This window comes from Homo sapiens, chromosome 1 (assembly GCF_000001405.40).
Source record: "Homo sapiens chromosome 1, GRCh38.p14 Primary Assembly".
Classification (NCBI taxonomy): Eukaryota; Metazoa; Chordata; class Mammalia; order Primates; family Hominidae; genus Homo; species Homo sapiens.
In genome coordinates, this window is record NC_000001.11 from 21,802,240 (window position 1) to 21,826,855 (window position 24,616).

Genomic DNA, 24,616 nt, shown 5'->3' on the forward strand with positions numbered 1-24,616 from the left:
AGACTGGCGGATCATTTGAAGCCAGGAGTTTGAGACCAGCCTGGCCAACATGGTGAAACCCCATCTCTACTAAAAACACAAAAATAGCAGGGCATGGTGGCGCACGCCTGCAATCGCAGCTACTCGGGAGGCGGAGGAGGCAGAATTGCTTGAACCTGGGAGGCGGAGGCTGCAGTGAGCCAAGATCATGCCACTGCACTCCAGCCTGGGTGACAGAGTGAGACTCTGTCTCAAAAAACCCAAAAAACCAGAAAAATATGGGTAACAGAAAGGGAAGAACTCTCTCCCCACGTGACTCAATATTGAGAAAACTTACTTGACATGGTTGTCATGGATTTGGAAGTGAGATGGCCTCTGAGTTCAAATCCTGGCTGTGTCCCTTCCACTGTGGCTGAAGCTTAACACTTGATTGGCGTGTGTGGGATATGAGCCCAGTGTAGCCAGAAGAAGGTACTTTCTCCGGTTGCTGCATAAAAGCCAGCAAAGGCAGGCTGTCCCCGGCCTTCTAGGCTTTGTGTGTGATTCTCCTTCTGCCTGGAACACTGTTGCTTCCCCATTTCCTACTTACATAATATTTCTGCATTTAACATCTTTGTGCCTCAGCTTCTTCCTCTGCAAAATGGAGATGATAAGAGTACCCACTTTATGGCACTACTGTGAAGAATAAATCAGCTTAAATTAGCCGTCCGGGCAAGGTGCCTAAAGCCTATAATCCCAGCACTTTGGGAGGCCAAACTGGGAGGATCGCTTGAGCCTAGGAGTTCAAGGCCAGCCTGGGCAACGTGGCGAAACCCCATCTCTACAAAAAATACAAAAAAATTAGCCGGGTATGGTGGTGCATGCCTGTTGTCCCAGTTACTTGAGAGGCTGAGGTGGGAGGATCACCTGAACCCAGGAAGTAGAGGCTGCAGTGAGCTGTAATCGCGTCACAGCAATGTAGCCTGGGCAACAGAGCAAGACCCTGTCTCAAAAACCATATAAAGAGCTGACCAACATGGTGAAACTCCGTCTCTACTAAAAATACAAAAAAAAAATTAGCTGGGCATTGTGGTGCATGATTGTAATCCCAGCTACTTGGGAGCCTGAGGGAGAATTGCTTGAACCTGGGAGGTGGAGGTTGCAGTGAGCCGAGATCGTGCCACTGCACTCCAGCCCGGGCAGCAGAGTAAGACTCTGTCTAAAAAAAAAAAAATACACACACACACACACACACACACACACACACACACACACACACACACGTATATATGCCAATACATGAAAGCAATCTTTTTTTTCTTTTTTTGAGACGGAGTCTTGCTCTGTTGCCCAGGCTTGAGTGCAGTGGCGCGATCTCGGCTCAGTGCAAGCTCCGCCTCCCAGGTTCACGCCATTCTCCTGCCTCAGCCTCCCAAGTAGCTGGAACTACAGGTGCCCGCCACCATGCCTGGCTAATTTTTAGTATTTTTTTAGTAGAGACGGGGTTTCACCATGTTAGCCAGGATGGTCTCGATCTCCTGACCTCGTGATCCACCCGCCTTGGCCTCCCAAAGTGCTGGGATTACAAGCATGAGCCCTCGCGCCCAGCGGAAAAAGCCAAAGTCTTTACAATGACCTCTAGGGCTTGACATTATCTGACTCATCTTTTATCACTCTTTGCATCTCTGCCTTCGTTCCGCATGTATTGCTTGTGCCAGGCACATTCCTGCCTCAGGGCCTTTGCACTTGCTATTGCCTCTGCCTAGAATGTTCTTTCTCCAAATAACTGCATGACTGGTCCCCTGGCTTCTTTCTGGTCTCTACTCAAAAGGCCCCTCTCAGTGTGACATTCCCTGGCTATCCTATCAAAATGTCAACACCCCTCTGACATGCCTGCCAACCATGCTTTGTGTATTTTCTCCTTTGTATTTATTACTATTCCATATATCAAACATCTTACTCATTTATCCTCCACTGGAATGTAAGTTCTAAAACATTAGAAAAATTTTATTTTATTTTTTTCAAGGTCTCGCTCTGTCACTCAGGCTGGAGTTCAGTGGCACAATCATAGCTCACTGCAGCCTTGAACTTCTGAGTTTAAGCAGTCCTCCTACCTTGCCCTTCCAAAGTGCTGGGATTATAGACATGAGCCGCAATGTCTGGCCCAGAAATTTTGTTTATTTTGTTCCCTGAAATTTCTTCAGTGCTTAAAACAGAGGTTAGTAAAATTTGAAAAATGAATGCATACGTATTTTTTTCCATTTTAATCTTCCCAGTAAGATACTTCAGTATTGTCTCCATTTTGTAGATTAAAAACCTGAGGCACAGAGCGATCAGGTCACTTGCCTAAGGGTCATACGGCTGGGAAGTGTGGCTCAGGGGAAGACTCTACCCCCTTACCTCAGATTTCTTATCATTTAAATGAGGTTTCCAAAAGAATGCCCTCTTTGCAGGGTCATTGAGACATATTGTGAAGATTATGTGTGATAGAGCATATGACAAACTTAAAGCCAGTGCTTGGCATGCTGTAATCACTCAAGAAGTAGTCTCTGGCTGAGTGAGGTGGCACATGCCTGTAATTCCAGCTACTTGGGAGGCTGAGGTGGGAAGATCAGCCAATCTTGGGAGGCAGAGGTTGTAGTGAGCTAAGATCGCACCACTGCACTACAGCCTGGTTAACAGAGTGAGACTCCATCTCAAAAACAAAACAAAACAAAACAAAACCAAAAAAAAAAACAGAAGTAGTCTCTAGAAATACGAAAGGATGTACGAGGTGTTTGTCCCTAGTCATTAAAGGTAGGAATATTTCAGCACAGAGGCTGATCAAGGGGCCAGGAAGTTACTAGTATTGTTTTTGTTTTTGTTTTTGAGACAGAGTCTCACTCTGTTGCCCAGGTTGGGGTAGAGTGGTGTGATCTCAGCTCACTGCAACCTCCACCTCCCGGGTTCAAGCAATTCTCTGCCTCAGCCTCCCGAGTAGCTGGGATTAAAGGCAACCACCACCACACCTGGCTAATTTTTGTATTTTTAGTAGAGACGGGGTTTCACCATCTTGGCCAGGCTGGTCTTGAACTCCTGACCTCGTGATCCACCCGCCTCGGCCTCCCAAAGTGCTGGGATTATAGGTGTGAGCCACCGCGCCCGGCCTTGTTTTGTTTTTGAGACAAAGTCTCCCTCTATTGCCCAGGCTGGAGTACAGTGGCATGATCTTGGCTCACTTGGCCTATTGTCGTTAATATTGTTGTCGTTTCTATCACTTTTCTGTGCAGCAGGGTTTAGCCATACCAACCTGTTCCCAGAATGAGCTCCTCTGTGACCATGACACATACTGGGTCCTCTGCTTGGAATGCATTTAGCGTAGTTTCTGCACGGAAACTCATATGCATCCTTCATGGCCCAACTCAAAAATCTCCTCTGGGAAGCTTCTCCTGACTTCCTGAGGTATGTCACATTCCTGTTATAGTTAGGGTTGCAATTTATTTATTGATTTGTTTTTTGTTTGTTTGTTTAATCTGAAGCCCCTACCAGTCTCTGAGGTCCTGGAGGGCCACATTTTGTGGGTCCTGAAGCAGAAACAATTTGGGGGCCCTCTTTAAAATATGAAATTATTAACACAAAATCAGGTTTGAGGCCAGATGTGCTGGCTCATGCCTGTAATCCCAACACTTTGGGAGGCTGAGACGGGTGGATCACCTGAGGTCAGGAGTTCGAGACCAGCCTGGCCAATATGGTGAAACCCCGTCTCTACAAAAAATACAAAAATTAACTGGGTGTGGTGATGTGCACCTGTAGTCCCAGCTACTTGGGAGGCTGAGACAGGAAAATTCGTTGAACCTGGGAGGCAGAGGCTGCAGTGAGCCGAGATTGTGCCACTACACTCCAGCCTGGGCAACAGAGCGAGATTCCATCTCAAAAAAAAAAAAAACAAAAACCTGGTTTGAAAGTGAATATTTATTTAGAATGAGAAAAAATCCCAACAAGTTTTGAAATGTAAAAAACGGACAAATAAGACAAAAAATAAAATCCAAAATAATAACAAACTTTTATTAACTGCTTAACATTCTTCTATAATACTTTTTTTTTTTTTTAAATAGAGACAGGGTCTCACAATGCTACCCAGACTGAGCTCAAACTCCTGGGCGCAAGCAATCCTCCCACCTCAACTTCCCAAAGCACTGAGATTGCAGGTGTGAGCCTCAGCACCTGGCCTTTTTTGCTTACTTTTTTTTTTTGGCTGCACACTTTTTGATTCTTTATGTGACAGCAACTGTATGGTATTTTCTCTATTTTTTTTTTTGCTAGATGGAGTCTTGCTCTGTTGCCCAGGGTGGAGTGCAGTGGAACGATCATAGCTCACTGCAGCCTTGAGCTCCTGGGCTCAAGCAACCTTCCTGCTGCAGCCTCCCAAGGAGCTGGGACTACAGATGCATACCACCACGCTTGGTTAATTTTTATGTTTTTTGTAGAGATGGGGTTTGGTCACTCTGTTGCCCAGGTTGGTCCCGAACTCCCAGCCTCAAGCGATCCTCCCACTTCCACCTCCCAAAGTGCTGGGATTACAAGCATGAACCACTGTGCCTGGGCAGTAGGATTGTTTTTGTTTTTGTTTTTGAGAGCGAGTCTTGCCCTGTTGCTCAGGCTGGAGTGCAATGGCGTGATCTCGGCTCACTGCAGCTTCCGTCTCCTGGGTTCAAACGATTCTCCTGCCTCAGCTTCCCGAGTTGCTGGGATTACAGGCACCTGCCACCACACCCAGATATTTTTTTTGTATTTTTAGTAGAGACAGGGTTTCATCGTGTTGGCCAGGCTGGTTTCAAACTCCTGACCTCGTGATCCGCTCGCCTTGGCCTCCCAAAGTGCTGGGATTATAGGTGTTAGCCACCGCGCCTGGCCAGGATATTTTTATAGCAGGACTGGAAAGATAATTCAGTCTTTCCTCTGCCATGATTGATCAAAATTAGTTTTTTTGTGTGTTTTTGTTTTTGTTTTTTTTTGTTTTTTGAGACGGAGTCTCGCTCTGTCGCCCAGGCTGGAGTGCAGTGGCGCGATCTTGGCTCACTGCAAGTTCTGCCTCCCAGGCTCACGCCATTCTCCTGCCTCAGCCTTCTGAGTAGCTGGGACTACAGGCGCCCGCCACCACACCTGGAGAATTTTTTTTATTTTTAGTGGAGACAGGGTTTCACCGTGTTAGCCAGGATGATCTCGATCTCCTGACCTCGTGATCCGCCCGCCTCGGCCTCTCATAGTACTGGGATTACAGGCGTGAGCCACTGTGCCCAGCCCAAAATTAGTTTTTTATTAGTGATAGTTTAGGAATTTTTTTCCTTCAGTTTTGTAATTCATTGTTGGTAAGATTATTTAACTCAATGATTGTTGTTAAATTTGGAGCAACTGCTATAAAATATCTTACTCATGTGAGCTGTGTATTTGGAAGGATTTTCCACACACTATTTCTGACTTCGTGCATTTCAAATTTTATTTCTTTTACAATGCCCTTGTACTCCTGGGGCTGGGCATCATATATTCTCTGAGTCAGCACCTTCAGATCACAACACTCAGGGAGACAGAACAATGGCATTAGGAATATTCCTGAATGCCATCTGGGGCACCTAGGAGTAATATAACTATACCCGCAAGGGGCCAGAATCCCATAAATATACTCACCCCCAGCCCTAAACCCAAATCAGCCTCTCCCTAGCCAGATTTCAAAACACCTGTGGCCACCTGATATGAAGCGAGGTGTGATGAAGGAGAGGTTGGGAGTGGAAAGAGAAAAAAGTCTGAACTAACTGTGGTTAAAATATCTTATGTTTGCAAAATTTTTATTTTAATTTATTTATTTTTACTTTTTTGAGACAGTCTCACTCTGTCGCCCAGGCTGGAGTGCAATGGCACAACCTCAGCTCACTGCAACCTCCGCCTCCTGGATTCAAGCAATTCTCCTGCCTCAGCTTCCCAGGTAGCTGGGAATCCAGGCACATACCACCACACCTGCTAATTTTTGTATTTTTAGTAGAGATGGGGTTTTACCATGTTGGCCAGGCTGGCCTCAAACTCCTGACCTCAGGTGGTCTGCCTGTCTTGGCCTCCCAAAGTGCTGGGTTTACAGGGTGTTACAGGGGTTACAGGGGTGAGCCACTGCACATGGCCTATTTTTATTTTTTTAATTTTTTATTTAATTAATTAATTGTTTTTGAGACAGAGTCTCGCTATATCACCCAGGTGGGAGTGCAATGGCTCAGTCTCAGTTTACTGCAACCTCCGCCTCCCGGGTTCAAGCAATTCTGCTGCCTCAGCCTCCCGAGTATCTGGGATTACAGGCGCCCACCACCACGCCCGGCTAATTTTTGTATTTTTAGTAGAGATGAGGTTTCACCATATTGGTCAGGCTGGTCTTGAACTCCTGACCTCAGGCAATCCACCTGCCTCGGCTTCCCAAAGTTCTGGGATTACAGGCGTGAGCCACCGCGCCTGGCCACGCCCAGCTAATTTTTGTATTTTTAGTAGAGATAGGTTTTCACCAGTTTGGCCAGGCTGGTTTTGAATTCCTGATCTCAGGTGATCCACTCACCTTGGCCTCCCAAAGTCCTGGGATTACAGGCGTAAGCCACCACTCCCAACCCTATTTGTATTTTTTAAAAATTTTATTTGGCTTGAGGCACAGTATCAAGAGGTCCTGAGAACATGTACCCCTCATGTTTGCAAAATTTTAAAAAATTATGGCAAGAAAATACATAACAGAGCTTACTATCTTAACCATTTTTTTCTGAGATGGATCGGCTCTGTTGCCTAGGCTGGAGTGCAGTGTCATGATCATAGCTCACTGTAACCTCAAGCTTCTGGGCTCAAGTGATCCTTCTGCCTTAGCCTCCTGAGTAGCTGTAGTATAGCTAAGAGTGTAGGCACCACCTAATTTTTTAATTTTAACTTTAATTTTTTGTAGAGACAGGGTTTCGCTATGTTGCCAGGTTGGTCTTTTTTGTTTTTGTTTTTGAGGCGGAGTCTCACTCTGTCGCCCAGGCTGGAGTGCAGTGGCTCGATCTCGGCTCACTGCAACTTCTGCCTCCTGGGTTCAAGAGATTCTCCTGCCTCAGCCTGCCGAGTAGCTGGGATTACAGGTGTGTGCCACCACGCCTGGCTAATTTTTTGTATTTTTTTGTAGAGATTGGGCTTCACCATGTTGGCCAGGCTGCTGTCGAACTCCTGACCTCAGGCAAAGTGCTGGGATTACAGGCCCAGGTTGGTCTTGAACTCCTGGTTTCAAGCGATCCTCTCACCTCAGGCTCCCAAAGTGTTGAGATTAAAGGTGTGAGCCTTGCACCTGGCCAGTCTTAGCCATTCTAAGTGTACAGTTCAGTAGTGTTAAGTATTTTCACAGTACTGTGCAACAGATCTCTAAAACATTTTCATCTTGCAAAACTGAAAGTTTATAACCATTCTTACTTTTGCAAATTTTATGAAGACATATAATCCCGGCCGGGCGCGGTGGCTCACTCCGGTAATCCCAGCACTCTGGGACGCCGAGGTGGGCGGATCACCTGAGGTCAGGAGTTCGAGACCAGCCTGACCAACATGGTGAAACCCCCATCTCTACTAAAAATAAAAAATTAGCTGGGTGTGGTGGCACACACCTGTAGTTCCAGCTACTCGGGAAGCTGAGGCAGGAGAATCTCTTGAACCCGGGAAGCAGAGGTTGCAGTGAGCTGATATCATGCCACTGCACTCCAGCCTGGGAGGTTGCAGTTAGCTGAGATCATGCCACTGCACTCCAGCCTGGGCAACAGAGTGAGACTCCATCTCAAAAAAAAAAAAAAACAAACAAAAGGTCGGGCGCGGTGGCTCACGCCTGTAATCCTAGCACTTTGGGAGGCTGAGGTGGGTGGATCACAAGGTCAGGAGATCAAGACCAGTCTGGCTAACACGGTGAAACCCCATCTGTACTAAAAATACAAAAAATTAGCCGGGCGTGATGGCGGGTGCCTGTAATCCCAGCTACTTGGGAGGCTGAGGCAGGAGAATGGCGTGAACCCGGGAGGCGGAGCTTGCAACAAACCAAGATTGCGCCACTGCACTGCAGCCTGGGCGACAGAGCAAGACTCAGTCTCAAAACAAAAACAAAAACAAAAACAAAACAAAACAAAAACCATATAATCCCATGCAGGTGATGAGTTCTGAAGTTTAAGCTTCAGTGGGCTTCATGATAAATTCATTCTTGCTGAGGGAAGATTTGAGTCTTTTTGGAGTTCCCCAAGGTACAGATTTGGACATCATACACTGTAGGAAATCAAGGTTGCATCAAATGACCGCTCCAGGAGGGAGAGCTGTTAGGGAATAATAGGTCCAGAGGTGTTTGTTTTGGGTTTTTTTTTTTTTTTATTTTATCGCCCAGGTTGGAGTGCAGTGGTGCAATCTCGGCTCACTGCAATCTCCGCCTCCCGGGTTCAAGCGATTATTGTGCCTCAGCCTCTGTGCCACAACGCCCGGCTAATATTTGTATTTATAGTAGAGATGGGGTTTCACCATGCTGGCCAGGCTGCTCTCGAATTCCCAACCTCAGGTGATCGCCTGCCTTGGCCTCCCAACGTGATGGGATTACAGGTGTGAGCCACTGTGCCCGGCCAGGTCCAGAGGTCTTAACCTTCTCATGGATTCCTGGGATTTTGAGGTGGTGTCTCAGGCACTGCCAATTTGGGCTGCTTAGCTCCTCCCCTCCCCCACACTTGAAACATCTGCTTAAATAATAACGATGACATTAATGATCATCATTCAAGCTGAAATACATTGGTTACTTTACTACATGATAGACACTATTCCAAGTACCCCACTTGTATTAAGTTACTTAATTCTTTTTTTTTTTTTTTTTTTGAGATGAAGTCTCACTCTGTTGCTCAAGCTGGAGTGCAGTGGCACAATCTCAGCTCACTGCAACCTCCACCTCCCGGATTCAAGCGATTCTCCTGCCTCAGCCTCCTGAGTAGCTGGGACTACAGGAATGCACCACCATGCCCGGCTAATTTTTTTTGTATTTTTAGTAGAGATGGGGTTTCACTATGTTGGCCAGGCTGGCCTTGAACTCCTGACCTTGTGATCCACCCACCTCTGCCTCCCAAAGTGCTGGGATTACAGGCATGAGCCACCAAGCCAGGCCAAGTTACTTAATTCTTACAATGCAACTATGTGGTTGGAATTAATCATTATCCCATTTTCCAGAGAAGGATGCCAGGGCTTGAAAAGCTTCAGTTTTATAGATAAAGGTTCCTTGTAACATACCTTTTGAAAAAAAATTGTTCTACTAATAACACGTTTTGAAAAAGTCTGAATTAGTCCAGGGTATTTATTTTACACATGGGAAAGTAAAATCCAGAAAAAGGGGTCATTTGTTCAATGCCACACACTTATTCTTTCATTATTTCCTGGGCGCCTGCCTTGTGCCAGTGACTGTGCTATGACATAAGGGTTCAGAGGTAAACAAGATACTCATGGAATATAATTTTAGTGGAGGCCAGTGGACAATATATACAAGAAGAAATGAATAGGCAAAATAATTCCAGACAGTGCTGGGATGATACATTTGAGATGTGATTGAGTGACAAAGAGAGAGAGTGTTAATTTAGTTGGAGAGGTGGTCAGGAGAGTGTGGTCTGTGGAGGTAACATGTGAGCCACAACCTGATGACCTGAAGAAGTCAGCCGTGCACTGCTATGGGGGGACAACACTCCAGACAGAGGGATCTATGAGTGCAAAGGCCCTGAGGCAGGAATGGCTTGTTAGTAATACAGCAGACTCCTGGTCCAGTGCTCCTTCTCTGCCTGCTGCTCTCTAGGCCCTCAGAGAGGCTCCTTTGGTGTCCTGGACCTCCCTCAAGCTCAGTCCCTAAGGGGCCAGCTGATCTAGGAAGGTAGCAGATCTGGCTTCCTGTGGGTCCTCCTCCCAGAAGCCCTATGGCTGAACCGGATCTGAGTTTCCTGGTTCCTGTCTGGCAGAAGGGGAGCAGATCTCCTCCCTGCCTCCTCTCCCCAGGCTCTAGCCCTTGCTCCAAATCTCCATGGCAACCCCTGGACACAGTTCTGAACCAAATGAAGAGGATCTGGAAGGCAAAGCACTAAGATCATAGTGAAGACTTGCCTCCCCCTTCTCCTTGTGTCCCACCAGCCTCCCTGCTGGCCTGACCAGGCCCCATACTCCAGTCTCCCCAGAGACCCCAAGCTGAAGATTCTGTGGGTCTGCCCCATTGCTGGGCACAGCAGAGCCTGGATGGAGGCTTGTTGTCTTCTGCAGTTGCCCCAAAGGTTGCTCTTGCTGGGGGCAGCCGCCCTGACTGCAACTGCTTTGGAGACAGGTAAGTATCAGGGGGCTTGGTTGGGGCACCCAGAAGACTTGGGCCCCCACCATCCTTAGAGACTATGTTTCCCCAGTCAGCACTCATCCTGCTGGGCTGAGACCTTTTGAGCTGGGGGAGGCTGGGAAACTGTGTCTGGTCTTGCTTGGCATCCCCAAATCCAACCCAAAGCCTTCTGGAAGGCTTGGATCTGCCAGTCACCTAGAAGCAGGAGTCTGGGAGTGGGCAGGACAGCCCTCAGGGCCTGCTTTGCAAAACTCTGTAGGCTTCGGATTCAGAGAAGCTGCATTTACACACTCTGCCACTTCTTATGTTTGTACCTTTGAGATCATTGTTTCAACTCTCTGAATTTCTTTGGCAGTAAAATGAAAATAATAGGCCCTTGCCCCTTAAGGGACTATGATTATTGGCATATAAGATGAGATAAGTCATGCAAGGCACTTCATAATACCTGGCACATAAAAGGTGCCAAATTCCCGGCTGGGCGCAGTGGCTCACGCCTGTAATCCCAGCACTCTGTGATGCCGAGGCGGGCGGATCATGAGGTCACGAGATCAAGACCATCCTGGCCAACATGGTGAAACCACATCTCTACTAAAAATACAAAAATTAGCTGGGCATGGTGGCATGTGCCTGTAATCCCAGCTACTTGGGAGGCTGAGGCAGGAGAATCGCTTGAACCAGGGAGTCGGAGGCTGCAGTGAGCCGAGATTGCGCCACTGCACTCCAGCCTGGCAACAGAGAGAGACTCCGTCTCAAAGAAATAAAAAAAAAAAAGGGTGCCCAATTCCCTTACTCTCTAAACTCCATGCCTGCCCTGTGTACCTTCAGGGTAGGCTCTGGCTTTAGCAGAGAAATACCAAATATTGGAAAGTGCTCCCACATCCTGAGCTCTGATGAAGGATTTTTTCCTCAAAGACCCACATCCTGGCTGGTCCTCAAGTACCCACTGGTCCCTATCTTGCACCAGAAAACCCACCTCCTCTTTCCTCTCTGTGCTTACAGAAATCAGGGCTACTTTGAGTACTTGCACATCTTCTCATTTAATCCTCACAACAACCCTGTACCAGTGAGGATGTTTTGGGCTGTAAGTAACAGATAACAAACTAAATGGGGCTTAAATGGTAGGATATTTGCTATTTCAGTTAAGAGTGGTCATAGGTGATTCCAGAGATGGTTAACTCAACGGCTCAACAATGTCACTGTTCCTCTGAAATGCTCTGACCTCATCTTTGCAAAATGGCTGCTGCAGCTCTGGACATCCCATCCTCATCCTCAGTCAGCAGCTTTCAAAAGCAGGAAGAAAAGGGGCTCCTTATCACACAGCTCTCCCCCTCCCCTTTTTTTTTTTTGGTGACGGAGTCTCGCTGTGTTACCCAGGCTGGAGTGCAGTGGCTTGATCTCAGCTCACTGCAACCTCCGCCTCCAGAGTTCACGCGATTCTCATCCTCAGCCTCTCGATTAGTTGGGATTACAGGTGCGCACCACCATGCCCGGCTAATTTTTTGTATTTTAGTAGAGATGGGGTTTCACCATGTTGGCCAGGCTGGTCTCGAACTCCTGACCTCAGGTGATCCACCTGCCTTGGCCTCCAAAGTGCTGGGATTACAGGCGTGAGCCACTGCGCTCGGCCCCGCATCTTAGGGTTTCGAATAAGGGATTGTAGATTTGAATTAAATTAAATTAAATCATTTAATCCTTACAATCATTCTGAGATTGATTAATCATCCCCATTTTACCGATGAGGAAAATGAGGCTCAGAGAGGGCGAGTAACTCGCTTGGGATCACACAGCGGGCAGGGGACAGAGTAGAGTTCGGGGTCGCGCCGCGCGGCTCCAGTTTCCGTGCCTTCCGCTGCAGCCGACCTGGCGGAACTGTGCGGGCAGACGTGGCAGGGGGACGGGCTGCTGCTGCGCTCGCACGCCGCATCGCGCAGGTTCTACTTCGTGGCTCCGGACACCGACTGCGGGCTCTGGGTGCAGGCGGCAGCCCCCGGCGACCGGATCCGCTTCCAGTTCCGCTTCTTCCTGGTCTACAGCCTGACCCCCGCGCCCCCGGCGCTCAACACCTCCTCCCCGGCCCCGGCCGACCCGTGCGCCCCCGGCTCCTACCTGCAGTTCTACGAGGGCCCGCCGGGGGCGCCCCGGCCCCTGGGGTCCCCACTGTGCGGCCTGAACATCCCGGTGCCTGTGGCATCCTCCGGACCCTTTCTAGGCCTGCGCCTGGTCACGAGAGGCCGCCAGCCCCGCGTGGACTTCGTGGGCGAAGTCACCTCTTTCCGTCTGGGTGAGCTGGGGCTGAAGGCCGGGACGGGACCCTCTGCAGAGGCCATGCGGGACTGGGGCCACAGTGGGGGCCCCGGTGAGGGCCGCTGCCGACAGGGGAATGGCAGGGGTGCCCGAAGCACAAGATGGCAGGGACTGGGTCCAACGGGAGGGAAGAAGGTGGTGGCTAGTGGCAGAGTCACAATAAGGGACCTCCCGGATCCTAAGAGCCAACCATATAAATCTGGCTACCATGGATGTGTGCGTCAGACTGTCCTACCAGCCCCAGTGCGCACACACATCCACACACATCCACACACAACTTCCTCCCCACACACATTCACACACAACTCCCACACGTTCACACCTCACACTCTGACATCCACACCCATGTCACATACGCACAACCCACGCACCTCATCGCCCCCACACACTCCACACTCATGCCTCTCACTGCAGCACACGCCTCACACTGCACACTCACCATCACACACCTCATATGCACACAGTACCGCCTTGCACACTTACACACAGCTCACATGCTCTCATGCCACATGCTGGCTGCTCTGCGCTGGGTCAGCCCTTCAGATGTTTGCAGAAGGGTGTGCTTAGGACTCGCCAGGCCTGTAGGCAGCAGAAACCAACTCAAGCCAGGAAAGGGCCCTCTTGGAACTGAAATTAATAATACTCGCCCAACTGGGCGCCGTGGCTTTCGCCTGTAATCCCAGCACTTTGGGAGGCCAAGTCATGAGGATCACTTGAGCTCAGGAATTCAAGACCAGCCTGGGTGACAGAGAGAGACCTGCCTAAAACAACAACAAAAAATAATTTAAAAAATATAATAATTAAAAAATAATAAAATTAATAACAGTACTTGCCCCATAGGGGTATTGTGAGGCCTCAATGGGCCAGGATGTGTAGTATTTACGGCTGTGCATGGCACAGAAGAGGAAGTCAGTACATGTTAGCTGCCATCCTCCACCCTCCTCCCCATGAAACACTCATCCATGTTCTCATCTGCATGCATGAGGGCAGCTCTCTCCTGCCCACACCCCCACACTGTCACCATGGGGGCCACACATCCTGCTGTGTCGTGGGCTGGACCGGAATCCTCACCTCAGGCTTCTGCTTCTGGCCTCAGGACCTTGTGGTGCCTACTTCCGCTGCCAGAATGGCAGGTGCATCCCCTCAAGCCTCGTGTGTGACCCCTGGGGCATGGACAACTGTGGCGATGGCAGTGACCAGGGCTCCTGGTCACCAGCTGACTGCAGAGGTCAGTGCGGGGTGTGGACTGGGCCCTACTGAACAGCTGGAGGGAAGCCTGGCCCTAACTCCCCTTCCCTAGGGCAGGGCCCCGATGGGGAGGCAGGAGAGAGGAAAGCGGAAGTGTGGAATCGGCTTAGGCCAAGGGCTGGAGGGGCAGAGCAGTCAGGGCCAGAACTATGCTGCAGATGATCTCATCCGGCGGATTCCAAATGATGCTTTAGTGGTGGAAACTTTTGCTAAATGGGACCTGGCATGGAGGCCCAAGACATTCAAAGGAGATATCCTCTGCTTAACTGGATGGTGGGCCTGGGGCCCTGGCTGCCTGATGTCTCTCTGAGGGCCCTGAGTGTCACCCTCAAGACATACTTTGAAAACCATCAATCCAGTCTGATTCCCACACTTTACAGATCAGGAAACTGAGGCCTAGAGAGAAGTGACTTGCCCAAGGTCATAAAGCCAGTGAGTAAAATGAGCAGGAATGATCTCTGTAGACAGGGGAGTGGGATAGGAGGGCTAGGGTTGGTGGAAGGGACCAGAACAAATCACCCAGGAATAACCTTCCTGGGGATCTAAAGATGTCCCACCTGCCCACCACACCCAATTAGGAGTGGGATGGAGGTAGGGCTGCCATGTACAGTTGAACAGGGGTGAAATGCAGTTTCCCAGAACCCCACACACTTACCTTCCCCATCCCCCGCTCAGCCTTTTTTGCAGGTTCCTGGTCATTTCCCTGATGCTGTATGCTTTGTGCCATGAGACCCAGGTCCTATGTCCCCTTGTCCTCCATCCAGGCTCATTCCCTTGTGGGTCTCATTTATATCGTATCACCTGTGGGACTTGTCTTTGAACTTCAGCCACATAACCTCCTCCCTGCTCAGCATCTCTGCGTGGATGTATAGGCGAAATCTCAAACTTAACTTGCCCCATACTGGACTCCTTGTCCACAGCCCTCCCTGCATCCTGCTTCCCTCTCGCTGAGCAGCGACTTCACATTCCAGCTGCCCAGGCCTCACTGAGTCATCTTTTACTCCCCGCTTAACCCATAGCCTATAACCCATAACCAAGCCAGTGACAAGTCCTTTGAAAGCTCTCCAGACTCTGACCCTTCTCACACCTGCTCTGCCATCACCTGGTCTGAGCCACCACCAGCTCTCGTCTGGGTTGTTCTAATAACTTCTGAACTGGTCTCCCTCCTTCTGTCCTTTGCCTCTGACAACACAGGAAGAAGGAAGCCTGGGGGAGCCTTCTTTTTCTTTTTCTTTTTTTCAAATGAACTTACTTATTTATTGTTTTGAGATAGGTTCTCATTCTGTTATCCAGGCTGGAGTGCAGTGGCGCCATCTCGGCTCACTGCAACCTCTGCTTCCTGGGCTCAGGTGATCCTCCCACCTCAGCCCCCAGAGTAGCTGGGACCACACATGCACCACCATGCCCAGCTAATTTTTGTGTTTTCTGTAGAGATGAGGTCTCACTGTATTGCAAGGGCTAGTCTCGAACTCCTGGACTCAAGATCTTCCCACCTTGGCCTCCCAAAGTGCTGGGATTGCATGAACTTCATTTTTTAGGGCAGTTTTAGATTTACAAAAAAATTGAGAAGATAGTACAGAAAATTCTCATATACCCAGCACTCAGTTTGGGTGCTATTACTGACATTTTACATTAGTATGAGACATTTGTTTTAATTAATGAAGTAATATTATTAACTAAAGTCCACAGTTTGTTCAGTTTTCCCTAGTTTTTACCTCATGTCCTTTTTCTGTCCCGGGATCCCACTCAGCATCTCATGTTACATTTATTTATTTATTTATTTTATTACTTTTTTTCAGATAGAGTCTTGCTCTGTCGCCTAGGCTAGACAGACTGCAGTGGCGTGATCTCGGCTCACTGCAACCTCTGCCTCCCTGGTTCAAGCGATTCTCCTGCCTCAGCCTCCGGTGTAGCTGGGATTACAGGTGCACACCACCACGCTCAGCTAATTTTTGTATTTTTAGTAGAGACGGGATTTCTCCATGTTGGACAGGCTGGTCTCAAACTCCTGACCTCAAGTGATCCACCCGCCTTGGCCTCCCAAAGTGCTGGGATTACAGGTGCACACCACCACGCTCAGCTAATTTTTGTATTTTTAGTAGAGACGGGATTTCTCCATGTTGGACAGGCTGGTCTCAAACTCCTGACCTCAAGTGATCCACCCGCCTTGGCCTCCCAAAGTGCTGGGATTACAGGCGTGAGCCTCCGCACCCGGCCTCATGTTACATTCATTAATAGTCATCATGCCTCTTTAGGCTCCCCTTGGCTGTGGCAGTTTCTCAGGATTTCCTTGTTTTTAATGATCTTGACAGTTGTGAGTACTGCTCAGGGATTTTGTAGGATGCCCCACTATTGGGATTTATTTGATACTTTTCTCATGAAAAGACTAGAGTTACAGTTCACAGAGGTGAAATGCCATCTTCATCACATCACATCACACCAAACATGACTTTGGTGTTGGGTGTTTGGTGTTGGACGGTGGTTGACGCTGACCTTGACCGCCTGGCTGATGTCTGCCTCATTTCTCCACCGTTACTTTTGGTCCCATCTTTCCCCACTGTATTCTTGGGAAGTCACTATGTATAGCCCACTTGAGTGGGGAGTTATGCTTCCCCGCCAGAGGTACCTTTTAAAACAGTAAATCAGGTTATGTCACTATCCTGCTCAAAACCCTCATCACATTCAGCAAAGGCAAAGCCTCGCCCGGGCTCAAAGGCCCTGCACGATCTGGCCCTGCCCCTTCTTTCCTGGCCTCGCCTCTTCCTTCCTGGCCCCGCCCCCCGCCCCACCCCTCCCTGGCCCCGCCTCCTCCCTGCCCCACCCCCTCCCTGGCCCCGCCTCCCCTCCACACTCCAGCTTTGTTCTGGCCTTTGCAGTAGCTGTGTCCTCTACCAGAAGACTTTTCTTCTGAGATCTGCATTGCAAGCTCGTTCCTTTGCTTCCTGGTGGGTCTCTTTAAGTTCTTCCCTGACTCCTTTATATAAAAATAGCAACCCTGGCCAGGTGCGGTGGCTCACGCCTGTAATCCCAGCACTTTGGGAGGCCGAGGTGGGCGGATCACCTGTAGTCGGGAGTTCGAGACCAACCTGACCAACATGGAGAAACCCCATCTGTACTAAAAATACAAAATTAGCTGGGCGTGGTGGCATATGCCTGTAGTCCCAGCTACTTGGGAGGCTAAGGCAGGAGAATCACTTGAACCCGGGAGGCATAGGTTGCGGTGAGCCGAGATCGCACGGTTGCACTCCAGCTTGAGCAACAAGAGCGAAACTGTCTCAAAAAAAAAGTTATTATTAGTAACTTATTATTATATTCTAATATGTATATTAGATATGCTTCCTGTACAGCCTGCAGAACTGAGACAATTAAACCTCTTTTCTTTATAAATTACCTTTATAAATTTATAAATTTATAAATTACCTTTCTTTATAAATTTATAAGAAAATTATAAATTTTCTTTATAAGCATATACATATGTATATTAGAATAGTCAAAATCACAGAGACAGGAAGTAGAGCCATGGTCACTAGGGGCTGGGGGGGTGGGGACAAGGAGGATATGGAGTTAATGGAATTGACGGAGTTGATGGAGTTTCCGTTTGGGCAGATACAAAGTTCTGGAGATGGATGGCGGTGATGGCTGCACAATGTGAGTGCGTATTAGTCCATTCTCGCATTGCTATAAAAAAACACCTGAGACTGGGTACTTTATAAAGAAAAGAGGTTTAATTATCTCACAGTTCTGCAGGCTATACAGGAAGCATGATGCTGGCATCTGCTCAGCTTCAGGGGATGCCTCAAGAAACTTACAATCTTGGCAGAAGGCGAGGGGAGCAGGCACAGCCAGAGTAGGAGCAAGAGAGAGTGAGTGGGGAGGCACTGCACACTTTTAAACAACCAGATCTTGAGAGAACTCACTATCTTGAGAACAGCACCAAACGGATGGTGCTAAACTATTCATGAGAAATCCACCCCCATGATCTAATCACTTCCTACCAGGCCCCACCTCCAACACTGGGAATTACAATTTGACCTGAGATTTGGGTGGGAACACAGATCCAAACTCTATCAGAATATATTTAATGCCACTGAACTGTACCCCTAACCATGGTTAAATGGTAAACGTTATGTGCTTTGCCACAGTAAGAAAAGCGGCAGCCCGCTGGGCGCGGTGGCTCACGCCTGTAATCCCAGCACTTTGGGAGGCAGAGGCGGGAGGATCACGAGGTCAGGAGATCGAGACCACAGTGAAACCCCGTCTCTACTAAAAATACAAAAAATTAGCTGGGCGCAGTGGCGGGCACCTGTAGTCCCGGCTACTCGGGAGGCTGAGGCAGGAGAATGGCGTGAACCCGGAAGGCGGAGCTTGCAGTGAGCCGAGATCCTGCCACTGCACTCCAGCCTGGGCGACAGAGCGAGACTCCGTCTCAAAAAAAAAAAAAAAAAAAGAAAAGAAAAGAAAAGCGGCAGCCCTGCCCCCACCAACATGCGTAATTTTTCTCACTAGCATCTATCTCCTTTAGACATAAATTCTATTCATGTGTTTTGTTTCTCCCCACACTAAACTCCCAGTGCCATGAAGACATATTTGTCATGTGCTCATGGTTGTATCCCCCAGTTGCTAGAGCCATGCCTGGGGGCATAGGAGATGCTCAAGAAATACTAGTCAAATGAATGGAAGAAGGAACCTCTATGCCTCAGTTTCCTTATCTGTGAAATGGGGATAAACCTCACCCTTCAGAGTTGTTGTAAACTGTGAGTGGCATACATAGGTAACGGGCCCAGCACAGAGTGTGGTGCTTGATGCACAGAAAATGCTCATGGCCGGGCATGGTGGCTCACGCCTGGAATCCCAGCATTTTGGGAGGCTGAGGCAGGTGGATTGCTTGAGCTCAGGAGTCGAGACCAGCTTGGGCAACATAGTGAGATCCCGTCTCTACAAAAAATAGAAAAATTAGCCAGGCATGGTGGCACGTGCTGGTAGTCCCAGCTACTCGGGAGGCTGAGGTAGGAGGATCACTTGAGCCTGGGAGGCAGAAGTTGCAGTGAGTGGTGATTGCGCCACTGGACTCCAGCCTGGGCGACAGAGTGAGACCCTGCCTCAATGCTCAGTACATGTACACCCTCTTCCTTGGGAAGTAGCTCCACTCATAGACCTTAGGCCCTGGAGCCAGACCATGTGAGTTCAAGTCCTCCTATCACTTCCAGCTAATTGAACTCGGCAAGTGACAACCTCTCTGTAAAATGGAAACACAGAGTGACAAACTCAGGGAAGTCTTGTGAGGATTGAATGAAACACACAAGTGTCCCAGAAAGGGCAGTTCTCAGTGTGCTAGTTCTGTTCTTTCCCATGCAGGTCCCTCTCCGGTGCCCAGCCAGACAGGAAGTACAGATGCCCATACCTCCAGATCCCTGACTCCCTCCCCAGCTCTCGGGTCTGCAGGATCCCTCTGGATTGCAGCTGAGAGGAGTTCCCCAGCAGGCAGGGACCCCACGAGACAAGACGCAGCTTTGGAAGGTTACACCTTGCTCCTACTCTTCCCACCAAAATCATACCTGTCCCTCTCTAGGTGATGGGGACGGGGCAGAGGACCCAGGCCGAGGCCTGAGTGGACTTTCTCTTCCCACAGGCCCCCAGCTCTGAGGGGTGGCGCTGGCCTCCTCGATGCTCCTGGCCTCTGCTGGCCTCCTCCTGGGCCTCCTCTGGTGCTGTTGCTCTCCCAGCTGGCTGGCCTGGCAACCTGGTGCCCGTGGCCTCTGCCTCCACTGCAGCACAGCCTGTACCACGTGCTACCCATGTCCCAGCCAGGTCTCCCCAGGGGGCTGCAGTTGAGTGGCCCAGCCTTATAGGATCAGGGAGGCCATCCCTAGAGGGGCTTCGGGCACATGGGAATGATACTAGGCTCTGGGGTCAGACTCTTTGGGTTCTAACCCCCTGGCTCTCTGTCTGATGTTGGACAGGCCCCCTAACCCTCTGAGACTCAGCTGCCCCTCTAGAAAATAGGACAATTCCTGCCTCACAGGGTTGGGGGCCTGGGGGCCTCGCTGATCCCAAGCCAGCTTGCTTCACCCCCAGATCTCACCTGCCCTGCTCTGCCCCATCCACAGGCTCCACTGAGTGAAGCCCTCATCAAAGACTCAGGAGGCCCCTGGCGGGGATAGCACCGTTTATTAAGAAAAATCAAGACAAAGACCACAGGAGGGTCCCTTCTAGGACACAGAGGCCAGGCGTCCCAACCCCACAGTCTGGGGGCCACTGGCAGGATGGCACTTGAGCTGGATCTTCAGGCTCCTGCAGATGGGGCAGGGTGGTCATATCCCCCTCCTCTCTCTCTCAGTCGTGAGTCCTGCCTTCCCCCACCTAAGGCACTAGCTCTTCCTGAGCACCAGCGGCATCCGTCCGTCCGTTGTCTGTTGGAGGAGTCCCTGGGCCTTCACTTCCAGATGGGTGGGGATGTGGCCTGGGGTGGGCGGGGCCCGGTGGGCGGGGCCCTATCAGTGCTGGGCTCTGCCTGTAGCAGCTCCTGGTAAGAGTTGGGGTGGGCCTTCCCTTACAGCCCCTGAGGGAGGGACCCCAGGCTGTGTGCTGGCAGGAGGGGGTGGGAATGCAGGCCAGGAGGACGTGGTAGGAGGGGGAGTCTGCCAGAGGAGGTGCCAGGGGCTGGGTGGAGGTGGGTGGGGGTGCTGAAAAACGAGCTGGTGGGGATGGGGACCGCCTGCCCAGGGGTGAGCTGCCTTTTGCTCCACAGCCGGCACTAAAGACAATTCCCAATCCTGAGTGGGTGGCAGAGACTCCTGCGATGCCCGTCTCAGGTAGCTGTGGGGCACCAGCCCACAAGCCGAGGTTGGCTCTCCTAGGAGTGAGAACTGCCCAAGGGCTGCAGAAACAGGCCACCCAGCTCTATCTGGGGGCTCCATCGGTGGGTAGGGGGACAGTGGGGGCAGTTCTGGGCCCACCCAGCCACTGTTCCTGACCCCAAGTCCTGGTGACTTTCTGAGGTGCCCACTCCCATCCAACCTGCCTTGCTGGCCAGCCTTGTGGCTTTGCCCAGCTGTGTGTGTGAGGGTGGCATGCCCACCTCCAGTCCAGCCCAGGGCGGTAGCAGCAAAGCGTGGCATCGCCTCGGTTTCTTACAAAAATTCATAATAATATTAATAATAATATACTCGACATTGTCGGGCTGGGGCGTGGCCCGGGAGTCCGTGTGGGGCAGGCAGGTGCCTACGAGGGGCAGGGGCGTGTGTTGGCCCCGGCCTGGGCGCGGTGCTGCAGGTCCAGGGGCTGTGGGGGCGGGGCGCCGGGTCGGGCCGAGTGCAGCACCAGGTTCTTGACACAGCCTGTGATGCCTGAGGAGAATCTGCCCCCGGTCAGCGTGGCCACGTCAGGGGCTCCGCCTGCCGGGAGGTGAGAGGACAGGGCCTGTGGGCTCCAGCAGCCCAGGAGGCGAGGAAGGCTGGGCGAGCTCTAGCCCTAAGGGAGTGCCGTTCCTGCCCCTGCCCTGAGAAGGAGCCCCAGACTTACCGATGTAGACGCTGCCCTTGGCGTTGACTGCCACGTTGGGACCTGGGGACCGGCCGCTGACCAGCTCCTCACCGTCGACTTGGATGGAACCTCTGCGGCCCTCCCTGCAGTGGAACTGGGTCAGGCCCCTTTCCACAAACTTCCTGGTCCTCCCCGGCCCCACGACAGAGTCCCCTCCCTCTGATATCGAGACTCCAGACTCAGAAGTCTGTCCCTGTTTCCCAAGCTCTTTCTTTCCCCCGCTGAACGAGAGATCGGGCCCCACAAACACAGCTTCCTCATTTCTGCACCCAGGTTTCCTCCCACTCCTGGGGCACTCGCCTGCCCCCAGCGGAGTTCAGTCCGAGATGGAAGCCCGAGCCCTGGCTGGTGGGTTCTCCCCTCCCCTGGCTTCAAGTTCTGTCTCCACAGAGCTCAATACCTGCCTCTCTGCCCATGGTAGGGGGCGTCCTGCCCCACTCCAGAACGCTGGGCCCCATCCCGAGTGCCCGGCAGGGTCCCTTACCGCAGTGCTGTCACCCGGTGCCACTCGCCGTCATTGATGGGGTCCTCAGAGACCAGGCGGGCCTCCCCACTACCCAGCTGGTACCTGCAGTCATCCAGGCCCAAGAAGTATGAGCTGGGGCAGGACCGGGGGGTGGGGTGCTGGGACCAGGGAAGGGAGAGGAAGGGCCAGGTGCCAGGACCTACCTGAAGACAAGGTGCCCGTCTTGAAGCCCGAGGCTGATGAAGTCCTTGCCTTGGCCGGCCTCTCCCACCTCCTGCCAGGGAAGCACAGGGTCTCTGGGGTCCCCAGCCTGGAGAGCAGAGGCTGCCGAGGCCAGGGGGCTCTGCTTTCCCCTCCCCCCACCACTCCGGCCACCAGGAAGCCAGCTTCCTGCCCCAGGAGCCCCAAGAGCCCAGCCGGATACCCACACTCACCACACCCTGCCAGAGCAGGAGGCCACTGGCTGTGCTGGTCCGAACCTCCAGCTCGATGGTCTCGGGCACCTCGGGCAGGCTGCGGAGGAAGAGCGGGTGAGGGGACAGAAGTCCCAGATTCCCATCCTCCCCATTAGGCCCATGGGCCCTTCCAATGCCAGTCTCACCTCCTGGAGAAGACATGGCCAGGGAAGGCGAGGAAGCCATCATCGTGGAAATAGGCTCCGTACTGCCCAGGGGCATCTGTGGGAGAGAGGAGGGTGGTGCCATACCTGCTGCATCAGGCATCAAAATCCCCCGTCAGTTCCCCTGACCCCCACCTCCACGCCAACATGCAGGACTAGGGGGCTCCGAGCCTGCAGTCCCTGGGGACCCACGGGGGCTGCCAACAGAATTCAGGGAGCCTATGACCTTGGATGGGAAAGCATTACACCTCAATTTCACTCACTTCTCACTGAAATTGAGCAGTTCTTTCAATGAGATGTAGGCAAGAAACCAAAGTAGCAGTGGTAGGACCTGCAACTTTGTTACTAGTATTTGCTTATCACATGACAGTAGCTGCAAATATTTCAAAATATCATTTACACATATTGCTGCTTTGAAATTGTGGTAGCTACTGAGATCACCAGATCTTGTTATTTGATGTGTTAATAAAGAAGCACATATATAGCAAGTCAGGAAACTTAAAACATGTTTTGATTACTTTACTTCAGCATAATTGCTTTCCTTAAATCAATGTATTTTATTTTATTTTATTTTGTGTAGTCAACAGGATCCGTGTCGGGTGACCCGCCATTCTACTTGCCAAATTCTGTCTGGCTTTAGCCCTGAAAGTCCCACATCCCAAGAAACCCCTCAGTCCGGAGCTACTGGGACCGTTGGTCACCTTGGACTGTGGCAATAAATGGTTCAGAGCCTTGGTGTTCTCTCCATCTTACAGAAGAGCAGGCAGGCTTGGGCGAGTGACTGGCCCAGGATGTCCATACTGTGTGTGGCTCCACACCCCCCCAGCCCTATCTGCTCATGACCCATCCCACAGGCCGGCACTGGCCACAGTAGCTCTGGCAGGGGACAAGAGTAGGGGACCCTCTGCTACCCTCCACCAAATGATGAGGAGAACGGCTGACATTTACCTAACACCTATGATGTGGCTGTGCGGGGAGCGTCCCATCCAGCTACAGACACCACTGCATTTAACTCAATCCTTACAACAACCCTATGAATGAATATTATATATAGATAATTTTTATTTTATTTATTTATTTTTGAGATGGAGTCTCGCTCCGTGGCCCAGGCTGGAGTGCAGTGGCACAATCTTGGTTCACTACAACCCCCACCTCCCAGGTTCAAGCAATTCTCCTGCCTTGGCCTCCCGAGTAGCTGGGACTACAGGTGTGCACCACCACACCTGGCTAATTTTTGTATTTTTAGTAGAGATGGGGTTTCGCCATGTTGGCCAGGCTGGTCTCGAACTGATCTCAGGTGATCCACCCACCTTGTCCTCCCAAAGTGCTGGGATGACAGGTGTGAGCCACCGCACCCAGCCTTATTTTTTATTTTTTTGAGACAGGGTCTCAGTCTGTTGCCCAGGCTAGAGTGCAGTGACACAATTGTAGCTCACTACAGCCTCGACCTCCTGGGCTCAAGTGATCCTTCTGCCTCAGCTGGGACCATAGCCATGTGCCACCACACCCAGCTAATTCTTAAATTTCTTGTAGAGATGAGGTCTCCCTGTGTTGCCCAGGTTGATCTTGAACTCCTGGGCTCAAGCAATCCTCCTGCCTGTCTCCTGAGTAGCTGGGACCATAGATGAGCACCACCATGCCCAGCTACTTTTTGTATTTTTTTGTAGAGACAGGATTTCGCCTTGTTGCCCAGGCTGGTCTGGAACTCCTGGGCTCAAGCAATCTGCCCGCCACAGCCTCCCAAAGTGCTGGGATTATAGGCGTGAGTCACCATACCCAGCTGAATATAGTATTTTTTTTTGAGAGGGAGTTTCGCTCTTGTTGCCCAGGCTGGAGTGCAATGGTGCATGCAATCTTGGCTCATGGCAACCTCCACCTCCCAGGTTCAAGCGATTCTCCTGCCTCAGCCTCCGGAGTAGCTGGGATTATAGGCATGTGCCACCACGCCCAGCTAATTTTGTATTTTTAGTAGAGATGGGGTTTCTCCATGTTGGTCAGGCTGGTCTCAAATTCCCAACCTCAGGTGATCTGCCCGCTTCAGCTTCCTAAAGTGCTGGGATTACAGGCGTGAGCCAGTGTGCCCGGCCAGCTGAACATAATATTAACAACAGCTAACATTCTGTACTGACTCTGT

The 24,616-nt window shown here is 50.9% G+C and overlaps 2 protein-coding genes across 10 annotated transcripts in view, besides 4 other annotated features; one reads left to right on the forward strand and one right to left on the reverse strand.

The window, feature by feature from the left end:
- Positions 8,512 to 8,662: a silencer, noted in NCBI's record as "fragment chr1:22137244-22137394 (GRCh37/hg19 assembly coordinates)". NCBI's record gives its function as "represses an EF-1alpha promoter that drives an FKBP-Casp9 reporter gene in an ReSE screen in HepG2 liver carcinoma cells {active_cell/tissue: HepG2}" and the evidence as "EXISTENCE:reporter gene assay evidence [ECO:0000049][PMID:32094911]".
- Positions 9,817 to 10,111: an enhancer, noted in NCBI's record as "tiled region #6146; HepG2 Activating non-DNase unmatched - State 20:ReprD". NCBI's record gives its function as "activates a minimal TATA promoter and a strong SV40 promoter by Sharpr-MPRA in HepG2 cells {active_cell/tissue: HepG2}" and the evidence as "EXISTENCE:reporter gene assay evidence [ECO:0000049][PMID:27701403]".
- Positions 10,026 to 22,986, forward strand: LDLRAD2 (low density lipoprotein receptor class A domain containing 2). Its single transcript, NM_001013693.3, has 5 exons — positions 10,026 to 10,297; positions 12,159 to 12,584; positions 13,704 to 13,835; positions 19,211 to 19,372; positions 19,963 to 22,986. Exons 1-5 carry the CDS (start codon positions 10,213 to 10,215, stop codon positions 19,974 to 19,976), a joined length of 819 nt encoding a protein of 272 aa, NP_001013715.2. The 5' UTR covers positions 10,026 to 10,212; the 3' UTR covers positions 19,977 to 22,986.
- Positions 12,391 to 12,510: a silencer, noted in NCBI's record as "silent region_390". NCBI's record gives its function as "represses an Ori minimal core promoter by ATAC-STARR-seq in GM12878 lymphoblastoid cells {active_cell/tissue: GM12878}" and the evidence as "EXISTENCE:reporter gene assay evidence [ECO:0000049][PMID:35858748]".
- Positions 19,384 to 20,250: an enhancer, noted in NCBI's record as "H3K4me1 hESC enhancer chr1:22148116-22148982 (GRCh37/hg19 assembly coordinates)". NCBI's record gives its function as "activates a minimal SCP1, AML or CMV promoter by ChIP-STARR-seq in primed H9 embryonic stem cells {active_cell/tissue: H9 hESC(primed)}" and the evidence as "EXISTENCE:reporter gene assay evidence [ECO:0000049][PMID:30033119]".
- Positions 20,005 to 24,616, reverse strand: part of HSPG2 (heparan sulfate proteoglycan 2) — a 115,067-nt gene continuing 110,455 nt past the window's right edge. For all 9 annotated transcript variants that reach the window (NM_005529.7, XM_047419090.1, NM_001291860.2 and 6 more), the window contains 6 exons: positions 22,465 to 22,540; positions 22,298 to 22,376; positions 22,067 to 22,137; positions 21,882 to 21,965; positions 21,377 to 21,480; positions 20,005 to 21,249 (listed from right to left, as the gene is read on the reverse strand). In NM_005529.7, coding sequence (NP_005520.4) covers positions 21,077 to 21,249; positions 21,377 to 21,480; positions 21,882 to 21,965; positions 22,067 to 22,137; positions 22,298 to 22,376; positions 22,465 to 22,540 — 587 coding nt within the window. In that variant the 3' untranslated portion in view covers positions 20,005 to 21,076. The remainder of the gene's footprint in view (positions 21,250 to 21,376; positions 21,481 to 21,881; positions 21,966 to 22,066; positions 22,138 to 22,297; positions 22,377 to 22,464; positions 22,541 to 24,616) is intronic.

Excerpts from the sequence above, each read along its gene's own strand:
- LDLRAD2 (NM_001013693.3), top strand. The coding sequence starts at position 10,213 with ATGGAGGCTTGTTGTCTTCTGCAGTTGCCCCAAAGGTTGCTCTTGCTG. Across the intron at positions 10,298-12,158 it reads TGCAACTGCTTTGGAGACAG|CCGACCTGGCGGAACTGTGC; the intron begins GTAAGTATCAGG and ends CTTCCGCTGCAG. Across the intron at positions 12,585-13,703 it reads AGTCACCTCTTTCCGTCTGG|GACCTTGTGGTGCCTACTTC; the intron begins GTGAGCTGGGGC and ends TTCTGGCCTCAG.